Source organism: Homo sapiens, chromosome 2, assembly GCF_000001405.40.
Source record: "Homo sapiens chromosome 2, GRCh38.p14 Primary Assembly".
Lineage (NCBI taxonomy): Eukaryota > Metazoa > Chordata > Mammalia > Primates > Hominidae > Homo > Homo sapiens.
The window spans coordinates 225,090,747-225,104,823 of NC_000002.12; the positions used below are offsets into that span (position 1 = coordinate 225,090,747).

General features: G+C 35.9%; 2 annotated features.

Moving 5' to 3' along the window:
• Positions 9,713-10,912: an enhancer, noted in NCBI's record as "P300/CBP strongly-dependent group 1 enhancer chr2:225965176-225966375 (GRCh37/hg19 assembly coordinates)". NCBI's record gives its function as "activates an origin of replication core promoter dependent on BRD2, BRD4, P300/CBP, MED14 and CDK7 cofactors, with strong dependence on P300/CBP, by STARR-seq in HCT116 cells {active_cell/tissue: HCT116}" and the evidence as "EXISTENCE:reporter gene assay evidence [ECO:0000049][PMID:35650434]".
• Positions 12,677-13,876: an enhancer, noted in NCBI's record as "CDK7 strongly-dependent group 2 enhancer chr2:225968140-225969339 (GRCh37/hg19 assembly coordinates)". NCBI's record gives its function as "activates an origin of replication core promoter dependent on BRD2, BRD4, P300/CBP, MED14 and CDK7 cofactors, with strong dependence on CDK7, by STARR-seq in HCT116 cells {active_cell/tissue: HCT116}" and the evidence as "EXISTENCE:reporter gene assay evidence [ECO:0000049][PMID:35650434]".

Genomic DNA, 14,077 nt, shown 5'->3' on the forward strand with positions numbered 1-14,077 from the left:
ATTTTTAACTACTGCTAGAATAGTAGATTTATGTATGCTGTGAAGAGAACCAAAATGAACAATTTATCTGAATTTCATTTTAAACTCAGTGGAAGCAATTCTTCCACCTTCATCTCCCTCTCCTCTGGGATCACTTACGGCTGATTACCAGATGACAGATGATTACCACTAAATGGCTAGATGCATGTGGTATTACGTGGTAAAACCCTTACATGGCTGAACCATCATTGTCATCAAACTGGACGATTGATGAAACCATGACTCAAAGCTAGAAGTCTACTACAACTCCTTTGGTAAACATATTTTTAAGAATATTGCTCTTTGCTCACCTCTGTTCATAAATGCAAGTATCACTTTGCACTTGTACATGTTTTCATAGAATCAACAAGTAATTAAAAAAGCATTATTTGTCCAGTATTGCTATTCATAGTGGCATTTCTCAGGCAGTGAAATTTAACACTACAGTTGCATGTAAAGGAAATAGCCATACAAGCTTCTCTTCCTTTCAACTGTTACCGACAACTTCGTGTAAAAGACCACTGACAGTAGAACCTAAAAAGTGCAGTTGTGGGTCACAGATTTTTGTTCTTCCTGTGTCAGCCTCATTTTTTTTTTGTTGAAGAGACAGTGAGGATGGTTTGCATTAGCTAACCTGGAAAAAGACTGGACCATACACACCAGAATCTGTATGTACACCTCAATGAGGATGACAGTGGACATCAGGATTGTCTTGTGGTTTCTTGAGGAGACTCATGCAAGATTCTTGTGGAATCATTCTTGGTCGGGAGGGTTAGGACTCATTGTGAATCATCCTCCTATGTTGAGATAATGACTGCGCAGATTATAGAGATATTCAAAGTCTTTGAAGACTCTGTATTATAAAAATAATCTCAATACATATGCTTGATTTTAAATTGTGTCATTGACCTTTTGTTACAGGAATGTTCAAACCTTCACAAAAGTAGAGAGGATGGAATAATGAGTTGCCACCATTGCAATAATTAAGAGCATTTTGCCAATCTTATTTCATCTTTCCTAACTTTTTTTTTTTTTTCAGTTTTGGTGTTATGTAAGGCAAGTTTCAAGTGTCATATCATATAATGAGTAAATCACTATGTTTCATTTACAGAGATCTCCTTAAAAAGTACCTAAGTTTTCTATCACTATCACACCTAACAAAGTAGTATTTTAATATCTGCTAGTACATTATCCATCTCAAATTTCTCCAAATGTCTCAAAAATATTATTTAATAGTTGTATATTTGAATTAAGGTCTAATCAAGGTCTTCATACTACATTTACCTGAGAGGTCTCTTAAGTGTCTTTTAGTTTATAAGAAGAATTCTCCCTTCTCTCTTATTTATTGAGGATATTTATTTGTTGAAGAAACCATATTATTTGTCCCAGATTATGAATTTGGCTGATTGCATTTTCCTGGTGCTATTTATCCTGTTTTAACTGTTAGTTATATCTAGAAGCTTGATTAGATTCGGGAGAAATTTTGGGGAGGAAAAATACTTTCTGGGTTGTTCTGTGTACTTTCTGTTGCATCATGTCAAGGGAAGCAATAGGCACATTTGGAGAGTATGTTAATACTCTTAGTAGGATTAGTGTTGGCAAATGGCTCCACTTATGAAGATTTCCTTCAAACTTCTCCCTAAAAATTATATCAGTAATTGTCTAGATCTATTATTTAACTAAGGATTAAAAAATGGTGGATTTTCTAAATCTATCATTTTTTCAGCATTTATCAGGTGAATTTTTTTTTTTTGAGATGGAGTCTCACTCTGTTGTCCAGGCTGGAGTGCAGTGGCACGATCTCAACTTACTGCAAGCTCTGCCTCCCGGGTTCACACCATTCTCCTGCCTCAGCCTCCCGAGTAGCTGGGACTACAGGTGCCCGCCACCACGCCTGGCTAATTTTTTGTATTTTTAGTGGAGACGGGGTTTCACCATGTTAGCCAGGATGGTCTCAATCTCCTGACCTCATGATCTGCCCGCCTTGGTCTCCCACCACACCTGGCCTATCAGGTGATATTCTTATATACTGGAAAACTTTTCTTTGTTAACTGCTTGGTTGTTGAAATGGAATTCAATAATGAGGTCAGAGTAAACACTTGCCCCTTTCTCCTTTCTCACCAATCATCAGAATGAAATCGCATGCTGGCAGCCTGCAAAGATGACCAATGAAGATTTTATTTCTCCTTAATTGTCTGTGTATCACTATTAATTCATGGATTTTTAGTTATTTGATATGTTCCACTTTATTGCAATCATTTTTCTCCTACATCCACAAACTGTCCCATCTTTAGTCAGAGGAAGCCCCTTCAAGTTGGCTTTTATCTCCTTTTGAAATAACACCAATAGTTTTCAAAGGTGTGCATATGTTTTCTGTTCCAATTAATTGTACCAAGCTCATCTTATACATTTCCTATTCCATACGTGCGATCAACTGCTAGTTCAAAGAACCCCGATTCCTTTTCCAGAAATGGCATCTAGAGAATAAATCTGGGGCAAAAGGAGTGCTCATTGTCACTGGGTTGTCATTGCTTCCAGATTTTTTAGCCGACAGAGAGAGGAAACACATATATTTTAGAAGAACAAAAATAAGCCTTAAGTGCACATTGATAGTTCCAATACCACCTGTGAACAAGAAGAGTTCACTCAACACCTTTAATTTTACACCAGTATCTTTTTTCTTCTTTGCTAATAGCCCTAGTGCCTACCAACATCAGTGTAATTGTACTAGATTCAGTGTATAAACCACCATACCTGTGCACATTTGACTTTATTTTTGTGTGGAGCAGCCTCAGGAACTGCTTTAACTTTTCCCATGGTCCAGCATGAGTCAGGATCATGTTGCCTTCACTGCCCCAAGACCAAGGGTATCATTGGACAGGATGGTTGCTTGACTCTCATTTCACTTGTAGTTTATATCCTGGCCACGTTTTCTCTCTTGCTGGGCTTGTTTCTCCATCCTCCTGTCCCAGGGCTTCCCTGTTGCAGCTGAGGCACCCTGCAGGATTTGCAAATCCCTGTGTAAGTGAGGGAGTATTAGCTTCCCCTGAATTACTTTGGCCAATGAGACATAAAGAACAAATGCTTATCCCTTCCTCTCACACTATCCAAAGATTCAGTAGTTTCATGATACTTTCTTAAAGATGCTCTGTAAAACCAAAAATTCAGTGTATCCTAAAGCTTGGACCAGCTTTGCAATACATTTTCACATAGTGTTGGCTCTCCCTCCTGTCTGTCTTTACTTCCTTCCTCCCTCATTCTCAAGTCCCTAGAATTGCACTCCCCAATAAAATGTTTACAGAAATTTTTTGCCTTAGAATTTGTTTCCTAGGGAACCCAGCCTAAACAATTTATCAATTACTTAATCCCGCAAAATATGTACAATAATTTCAAAATAACCATACCCAAATCACTCCTAACAAAAGCTATTGAAATATCTGTTGGCAATTACTTCTGTCGCAGAATATATCCCACAAGGGTGAATAGTCAAAATATGTCCATCAGCTTAATTTGAAACGATTCTTCTTTTTATTTTTAAAAAATGTTGCTTTATTTTTAAAAATTTACAAGTAATAATTGTACATATTCATGGGACACATAGTGATGTTTTGAGACATATAATGTGTGGTGATCAGATCAGAGTAATTAGCTTACCCATCATCTCAAACGTTTGACATTTCTTTGTGTTGGGAACATTCAATATCCTCTTTTCAGCTATTTGAAACTATATATTATTGTTAACTACAGTCATCCTACAGTGGTATAGAACACTAGAACTTATTGAGCCTATCTTACCAGAATTCTGTATCCTTTAGCAAATCTCTCCCTATCCCTCCCTTCCCCCTATACTTCCCAGCCTCTAGTATCTTCTGTTCTACTTTTCCAAAGGAAGAAAATCATTATATCAGAGAGATATCTGCACCTCCATGGTAATTGCAGCACTATTAACAATAGCCAAGATACGGAATCAAACTAGGTGTCCAACAGATGAATGAATACAAAAACTGTGGTATATATACACCATGGAATACTACTCAGCCACAAAAAAGAATGAAATCTTGTCATTTGAGACAACATGAATGGAACTGGAGGACATTATGTTAAGTGAAATAAGCCAAGTACAGAAAGTTAAATATCACATGTTCTCATTCATATGTGGAAGATAAAATAGTTGATCTCATAGAAGTGAAAGGTAGAACAGAGGATACTGGAAGCTGGGAATGGTAGGAGGAAAAGGAAGGATAGGAAGAGAATTGAAACAATTCTTCTTTGTGTACTCATGCTACCATTTTGATATTAAGATAGTTTGATTTGATTTGTCATACATTTAAATTTTTAAAAAAATTATGAAACATGTTTACATTGTTACCCTGTCAAATTATGAAAGGAGATGTATTCAGAGGAGCATGCATGTTTCCACCCCTTTCTCGACCCTCCTTTTTTTTTTTGCTTAGACAGAGTCTCATTCTGTCGCCCAGGCTAGAGTGCAGTGGTGCCATGCACTATGTCAGCTCACTGCAGCCTCTGCCCCCTGAGTTCAAGTGATTCTTGTGCTTCAGCCTTGGGAGTAGCTGGGATTACAGGCATGTGCCACCACACCCAGCTAATTTTTGTATTTTTGGTAGAGACGGAGTTTCACAATGTTGGCCAGGCTGGTCTCTAACTCCTGTTCTCAAGTGATCCACCCACCTCAGCCTCCCAAAGTGTTGGGATTACAGGCGTGAGCCACTGCACACGGCTTTCCTTCCCTTTAGTAGTGGCTTTTTCTTTGTTTTGTTTTGGCTTATTCTTTCATATTTTTCCAGTCTTTTGCTATCAGAAATAGTACTTCTATGGACACAATCTAAGTTTTTATATACACTGATTTCTTGGCAAAACATAATGGTGGAGATAAACATACAGTGAGTGGTTACCTGAATTTTTTACTCATCCACTCAGTTACATGCTATAGTTTACTGAGGACAAATTTGCACATAAAATTCCTTGCAAAAACATTGTTGAGTGAAAAAAGCAAATTGGATAAGTATCTATCTATTATCTATCTATCAATCTATCTATCTAATCTATCTATCTATCTATCTATCTATCTATCTATCTATCTATCTATCTATCCTGTTTATCTATCTAGAGATGTCACAACAGGGTGGCATCTCAGGACAGGAAAAAAGGGACTAGAATAGAGAATAATGATTGAAAAGGAATTGAAAATATATATGTATCTTTTTGTGTAATAAAATAGTATAATAAAGAGCCTGGGGCCACAGTCAGAAACCCCATTTTCTAATCATCAGAATGATTTGAGTAGGGTGTATTCATGTCTGAGAAATGCAATTGAGGAACCTGTTGATCTGTTAAGTGGCTTTTCAAAATCGGGGTATATTTATGATGCAATATTTACTTATAAAAAAACACAGTAAAATTATACCTCTACCATTATTGCTATGTATTAATGTCTCCTGTACTCAGATAAAGAGTAAAAGAGAACTCTGAAGTGTAGAAGAGTTGTGGTAGGAGTGGTAGAATTGTGAAAGATTTTTTTTTTTTTTTGAGGTGGAGTCTCACACTCTCGCCGGTGCTGGAGTGCAGTGGCGCGGTTGCGCCTCACTGCAACCTCCGCCTCCTGGGTTCAAGCAATTCTGTCTTAGCCTCCTGAGTAGCTGGGATTACAGGCGCCCGTCACCATGCCCAACTTTTTTTTTTTTTAGTATTTTTAGTAGAGACGGGGTTTCACCATGTTGGCCAGGCTGGTCTCAAACTCCTGACCTTGTGATTCAGCTGCATCGGCCTCCCAAAGTGCTGGGATTACAGGCGTGGGCCACCGCACCCGGCAGTGAGTGATTTTTAATGCCCTTTCTTTTTTTTCAGTTAATGCAACAGTTGAACAAGAACATTTGTAAATAAATGCAGATGCCCAATCTCTTGCTCCCTTGGAAGTCACCCAAACTGAAAAGAGAATAAGAAATATAAGTACATACTTCATTTGTCAACGAAACTAGGATATTGATAAATATGCTCACAGTATATGAGTAAATAAGTAAAATAGAAGCATTATAAAAATCAGACTAATTATCAACAGAAAATGAAAAAATTATGTAATGAAGGGTTGGAGAACTGAAGATAATTAAGTTTATTTGTCTTCTCAAATGAAAAAAGCTCTATAATTGTGGTCAGTGTGTATCGTAGAAGGTGACAGTAAGAGAAAATGTTTTACAGAATGGATGGAGTGTGTGACAAGACTTAGTTGGATATTTAAAGAAATAAATAAAACAAAGAAGACAATTTCTAAACTGAAAAAAATTGATAATACTAAGAACTTATTATGTGACAAGGACTATTTTAAGAATTTACTTGATTTAACTCAATTAATCCTCATGTAATCTTATGAGGTATGCAGTATTGCTACCTCCATTTGCTATGTATAAATAGCTTGTTCTATTTTACTGCAGAATAGTATTCAATTGTTTATATGTATCACAGTTTGTTAATCCATTCACCAGCTGTTTCCAATTTGGGGCTATCATGAATAAAACTGCTATAAATATTTACATATGCAGTTCTACAGATCTACATTGATTTAAAAATCCTCGTTGAGGTTTCAAGATCCCAAAAAGGAAAGGAATTCTGGAGAGAAAGTAAAAGGACTTTTAATTAGAAGTCTAGATTTATTTTTAAGTCCTATTAAGATAATTTTTCTGTAGAAATAGATTCAATGCATAGAGCAACAGAAAAGAGCCCTAAAGAGAACTACAGATGTGTAGGAAATTGTTATATAAAGAGAAAGCATAGAAACCAGTGGAGGGAGTGCATGAAATATAAGTATTTGGTTTGATGCAAGCAGTCATTTTTGTTGCAACAGTAAAAAGAAAAATATTATAAATAAACCCACTGTAAACTTCTCCAAAGAGGCTTTTCTGTGAATACGAGTTTTTACTTTCCTTAGGTAAAATTTTAGGAGCATTGAATTTTATGGTAGCTATATGTTTAACTTTATAAGAAATTGACAAACCATTTTTGAAAGTGGCTGTACCATCTGCATTTGCAGCAGTTATGTAGGAGAGCTGGCGCTCTCTTTCCTCACCAGGACTTGTTATTGATGGTTTTTCTTTTTTCTTTCTTGCCACTCCAGTAAGCATGTAGTGATATTTCGTCGTGGTTATAATTTGCATTTCCCTGATGATCAATGATGTTGACTCTGTTTTCATGGTCACATTTATTTACCATCTGTGTGTTTTCTTTAGTGAAGTAATTTGAATTTTTGTCCATTTTAAAAATTGGGTTGTTTTTATTACATTTTGGGACTACTTCATGTAGTCTTATATATAAGACATATATATAGACTACATATTTGTCTTTTCTTGTTTTATGGCTTGTCTTTTTATTCTCTAAACTGTCTTTCTCAGAGCAGAGGTTAAGTATGCTAAAGTCCAATTTATCAATGTTTTCTTTATGAGTCATGGTTTTTGGTATCATATTGAAGCAATCTTTGCCTAATCCATGATTAAAAATATTTTCCACATTTGTATGTTTTAAGTTTTACATTTTGATCTATGATCCGTTTTGAGTTACTTTTCTATAATGCATGAGATGTAAGTCCCTGTTCATTTTCTGCATATGGATATCCAATTGTACCCACACTACTTGTTGGAAAGACTATGCTTCTTTCATTAAATTCTTCCATTAAATTTCCTCTTTGTCAAAATAAATTGGCTCTATATGCGTAGACTCTATTTCTGGATTCCTTCTTCTGCTCCAAGGATCTCTGCGCCTAGCCTTTTATCATCACACTGTCTGACAGGATGAGTCTTCTGATGTTCTTTAAAAAAATGTTTTAGCCATTCTAGTTTTTTTTTTTTTTTTTTTGCCATTTCATAAAAAATTTAGAATCAGGCTGGATGCGGTGGTTCACGCCTGTAATCCCAGCACCTTGGGAGGCTGAGGCAGGCAGATCACAAGGTCAAGAGACCGAGACCATCCTGGCCAACATGGTGAAACCCCGTCTCTAGTGAAAATAACAAAAATTAGCCGGGCGTGGTGGCACGCGCCTGTAATCCCAGCTACTTGGGAGGCTGAGGCAGGAGAATTGCTTGAACCTGGGAGGCAGAGGTTGCAGTGAACCGACACTGTGCCACCTCACTCCATCTAAAAAAAAAAAAAAGCACAAGAAAAAGAATTAGAATCAGGCTTCTGAATTTACAAAAAAAGATTTACAATTTTGATTGGGTTTACATTGAATCTATAATTAATTTGGGGAAAACTGACAATGGTATTGAGTCTCTATTACTTGACTTTTTTTCTTTCCTCCATCATTTGTGGTTGTCAGCATAGAGATCCTGCATAATTTTTGTTAAGTTCACTTTGTGTTTTTGGTGTCATTGCAAATGTAACTTTAAAAAAGTTTCAATTCTCAGTTCTTCACTGTTACTATATAGAAATACAGTAGATGTCTGTATGTCTCAAACCTCTCTAGAGTCAATTATTAGTTTAAGCAACTATTTCTGTAGGCGATCTCTCTTTTTCTCTCCTTACCTTCCTCCCTCTTTCTTTCCTTCCTTTCTTGCCTCATTTTTGGTGCGATAACTTTCAATATGATGTTTAATAGGAGTGGTGAATATGAACTTCCATACTTCATTCCTAATCTTAGAGGAAACATGGCAGTCTTTTACCATTACAAATGATGTTATCTGTAAATGTTTTGCAGATATATTTATCAGATTAAGGCCGTTCACTTCTATACGTACTTAGCTGAGACTTTTGAACATGAATGGATGTTGAATTTTATTAATGTGTATTGACAATACATATTATATTAAATGCTTTTAGAATATTGAGGACACTTGTATTTATTTTCATGAAGCATAGTAGTCTGTGGTTTTCTTTTCTTGTAATTTCTTAATCTGGTTTTGGAATTGAGGTAATCCTGGATTAACAAAATTAGTTAGGAAATGTTCCCTCTTCCTCTGTAATCTGGAAGATTCCATGTAAAAGAAGTATTATTTCTTACTTAAGTGAGTGTGCTGGATCTAGTTATGTTAATTTTGTATTTGACTTGCTTAGGTTTTCCCAAGATTCTTAAAACTGGGACTACTGTCTTTCATTAATTTTGGAACATTATTGGTCATTATACATTAAAATGCTTTTTCTACTCAATTCTCTATCTCTTTGACTTTTGGAACTCCAATAATGCATACATTAGACTGTGCACCATTGTTCCATAGCTCTTTGATCCTGTTATTTTCTTGACTTTTTGTATGTGTGTTTCTTGTCTTCAAGTTCACTGATTCTTTCCTGTGCTGTATCCAGTCTACTGATAAGCCCAACTAAGCAATTTTTATCTCTAATGTCTTATCTTTCATTTTAGCATTTTCATTTGTCATTTTCTTACAGTTTCTCTTGTAAGTTCCCCCATTTGTTCATACATGTACACCATCTTTTTTTTTCACTAAACTCCTTAGCATTTTTTACTGTAGTTTTTAAAATTATTAGTATGATATATACAAAATCTCGCTCTCTGGTTGTCTTTATATCTTTATTGTTTGACAATGGCTGTGTGTGTATGTGTCATATTTTTGGAGAATGCCAAACATTCTGTGTAAAAGAACCCTACAGACAGAAGTAAATAATAGTTACTCCTGGAAATGAGCATGTTTGTCAGTTTTGTCTATTGTTTAGCTGTGCCTGGGTTTTCTTGTCACTATAGCTACTTTGAGTATGCACATATTTCAAATTCCTCTTGTAATGGACTGCAGCTACCTTGTGCTTAGTATGAACACTGGAGTATCGGAGTATGTTTCCATGTCCTTTTAGCAGATCATACACAGCTGTACTATAGAGAGGGTCCCTCTCTGTACTCCTGCCTTCTCCCACCAGTACACTGTTCTTGTTTATTACTTGGTACAAGACTCATGTTAGGACAGAGCGATTGTCTTATTTCTCCTGCTGAATTAGACTCCGTGTTATTTGAGCCACAGGAAATAGATATTTTTGCATTTCTGACTTTTCCTACCATGGGAACAAAACTTTATTTATAACAGTAGAGTCTTGGTATGAGCATATTTTCTCCTTTTCTCCATTGGCTTCTCCCTTTTTCTGCCTTGCTCTGTCTGAGGAAGGATAGTTCCTCAGTTCCTGTGTCCTATCTGTCTCTCCCCAGAAGGGCTTGGACATTTCAGCATTCAGTTCATCCAGTTGCCTTGAGATGTCAGCTCTCAGATAGGCTTCCAGAAAGGTTTAGGATCTGTGGATTATGCAGCTTTTTCTTGCTGCTAGTGTGGGAGGGACCATTTCTTGGAATTTTCTGTATTCTGTGAACCCAGGCAGGATTTTAACCAAAAATTGGTACATATTTGGTGATGGAAGAGGAGGAAGGGGATGAATCAGCTAAAATACTCCTCTGCTAAGTAAATGACTAAGGATGATGCTTACAATTGATGACTCACCAGACTGCAATGAAGGTAAATAATATAATAATGTTAGAAGATTTGTAAGTGGTTGCCTCTGAGAAGGAAAGTGGTGGTCGTAAACTACTGAGGAGTAAACCAGTATGGAAGAGAAGCAAGTAACTTCTTTTACGTTTCAAGCTTTTGGCGTTACTTTTTGCATGCCTTATAGGTGTTATTTTGACCAGAATTACTTTTTTAAAATTTATTAAATTTTTTTTTACAGTTGAGGAAACATCTTTTTTCTTTTTAAACTGGGAGGAATTTTGTTGCTTTAGAGAAAAAGAAAAAAATCATAGTCAAATGTAGAACATCCAAGTGATACAAAAACATTCAAAAAGAAAGGAAAAAAACACAAAAAAGAAAAAAAACCCCACAAATATCCATTACTTAGAATCAATTATGGTCAACATCTTGTAATAATCTTTCTAGAAATTCTCCACACAATTACAATTGGATGAATAAATAGATTGAGAAGTTATATATATTATGTTATAGTTTTCCGTTAAAAAATGGTATGTATTTTCTTAATCCAGTCTATCATTGTTGGACATTTGGGTTGGTTTACTATGCAGCCATAAAAAAGGATAAGTTCATGTCCTTTGTAGGGACATGGATGAAGCTGGAAACCATCATTCTGAGCAAACTATCACAAGGACAGAAAACCAAACACTGCATGTTCTCACTCATAGGTGGGAATTGAACAATGAGATCACCTGGACACAGGGCAGGGAACATCACACACCGGGGCCTGACGTGGGGTGGGGGTAGTGGGGAGGGATAGCATTAGGAGAAATACCTAATGTAAATGATGAGTTAATGGGTGCAGCACACCAACATGGCACATGTATACATATGTAACAAACCTGCACGTTGTGCACATGTACCCTAGAATTTAAAGTATAATACAAAAAGGTATGTATTAAAAACCAATGAATATACTAATTTACTTATTAACCCATAGTTTATTATTATTTTATTTATTTTATTTTTTTTTGAGACAGAGTTTTGCTTTGGTTGCCCAAGCTGGAGTGCAATGGCACGATCTCGGCTCACTGCAACCTCCGCCTCCCGGGTTCAAGCGATTCTCCTGCTCAGCTTCCCGAGTAGCTAGGAGTACAGGCATGCACCACCATGCCCAGTTAATTTTGTAGTTTTAATAGAGACTGGGTTTCTCCATGTTGGTCAGGCTGGTCTCGAACTCCTGACCTTAGGTGATCTGCCCACCTCGGCCTCCCAAAGTGCTGGGATTACAGATGTGAGCCACCGCGCCCTGCCCATAGTTTATTATTATACAGAAATTAAAAATGCAACCCAGAGGGGTTCGAATTTTTCCCTTAAACACCACAACTAATTTATGACAGAGTCAGGACTAGTATTCAGATTTTTTGACAGTAACGTCTGTGTTTTTTCCAACTCAGTAGGTTGTTTATTATTTGGGTTTTTGACACTACTGGCTTTTTGCAAGCTATTATAATGAATTCTCACTAGTTTTGCAAGATATATTTTCTTGAGTCATATCTGGCTTTGCCACCTAATTAACCTTTAACTATATTTGATAATTTTAAGTAAGAGAAAAATGTTCTTACTGCAGACAAGGATCCAAAAAAGAAGGATTTTAAAGGTCAGACTATTGTTGTGAATCCAGAATCTGTGCATAAATAGATTTTTTAAGTAATGGAGCGAACAGTGATCCCAAACAAGCTAGATTCAAATTCATATTTATTCAAACATTTTTACAGTGACTTTGATAAGTAAAAGTGTCTATACATTTACCAATTAGTGGCTATCAACTGGGGGAAAGCATTTCAAAGAAACTTTAAAATCTTAAATATTTTTTAAAAGTCTGTAGAAGGGCTTCTTTAAGCATTCTGACCATGAATAGTTCTAATCATCTAAGTTATAATTAATATATGTATTTCCCAAGAGAATAAAATTGAAAAAGGCTTTCCTCTTTTTAATTTTTCTTCTTAAATTTTCATAGCAATATACTGACAGATAGTAATAGAACTTCCACTTCACCTTCAATTTGAAAGGCTTAACTATATTAGATATCGATATGGACAAAAGTGTTGATTATTCATTTATTGTTCATTATTATCTCAAAGTGTTCTTCTTGTATGCTGTCATTCATTTAAAAATTGAGGAAAGAACAATTGCAATGCTGTGTTAAGATATTTTGAGGAAGAAATGCCCTCAGATATTTTTATTGTACATCTTGATGGTTTTGGTCTATTGAAACCATCTTCCATTATTTCAAACAAAATTATAACATCATCTATAATTGGAAGTGTTCTTACTCTCACTCCACATTTTACATCTTGATTAGGAGTTTAAAGAACAGGGCCTGATTATGATGGTAACATCCAGCCATCTGCAAGTCAAAGGAAAATCCATTCTAAATTGTAAGTAGTGTGGGAAAGCCCAAAGAAGATCTAGGTTTTTTCCATGCTGGATCTCAATGCTCTTTTTGCACTCCAAATAATTTCTTATAAATTTTTATGACCTCTGGATTCTTTTCATTTGCAGATGCCTTATTGGGTGATTCAGCACAAGTATGATGATACTTTCTTTTGGAAGTTTTGGAGATTTAATCATTTCAGATGTAGACGGTCAGTTCTAGGTAGGGTGACCAACTGGTCCCAGTTGGCTCAAGAGTGTCTTGATTTTAAACCTGGAAGTCTTGCATCATGGAAACCCACTAAGTCCCTGGTGAACTGGGATGTTTGGTCACCCTACTTTGAGGTGGCAGGAGCTCATTTTTATACGGAATGTCTAGCATGCTTAGTAAAATTAGAATAGAATTTTGTTAAGGCTGTGTTTCTGATGACTCATTTTACAAATATACAGTTGACCCTGGAATAATACTGTGTGGGTTCAATTATATGTGAATTTTCTTCTGCCTTTATCACCCTTGAGACAACAAGACCAACCCCTCCTCTTCCTATTCAGCCTCCTCAACATGAAGATGATGAGGATGAAGACGTTTGTGATGATCTTTCACTTGATGAATAGTAAATGTGATGTATTTTCTCTTCCTTATGATTTTCCTTATAATATTTTCTGTAGCTTACTTTATTGTAAGAAAACAGTATATAATACATACAACATATAAAATATGTGTTAGTCTACTGTTTATGTTATTGGTATGGCTTCTGGTCAACAGTAGGCTATTGATAGTTAAGCTTTTAGGGAGTCAAAAGTTATATAGGATGCTTTTTGACTGTGTCAGAGATTGGCACTCTTAGCCTCCATGGCATTGGAACATGGGTTAACTGTACTTAGCAACTATGTGAATGAATGGATCTTTCCCCAAAATATCACCTTTCCCCTGCCCACTGGCCAAAGATTATGGATACTTCCTTTGTTACACAATGGTTCATTCCTTGCTGATATATAAACATTTCAAAACATTTCACTTCAGGCTGCTTATCTTTATTCACTAGAATGAATGACGTCTAGGTGTTTCCTTAGGAATAATTGGTAGGAAATATTGGGTTCTATGAAAATATAGCACTGAAATCCAAATTTATCTCTATTTCTATTTCATGAATTAGTTGCATTCAAGCAAACAACTGCTTAGAAGATTGAAATTTCGCATTTTGATTAAAATGTCTTACTTT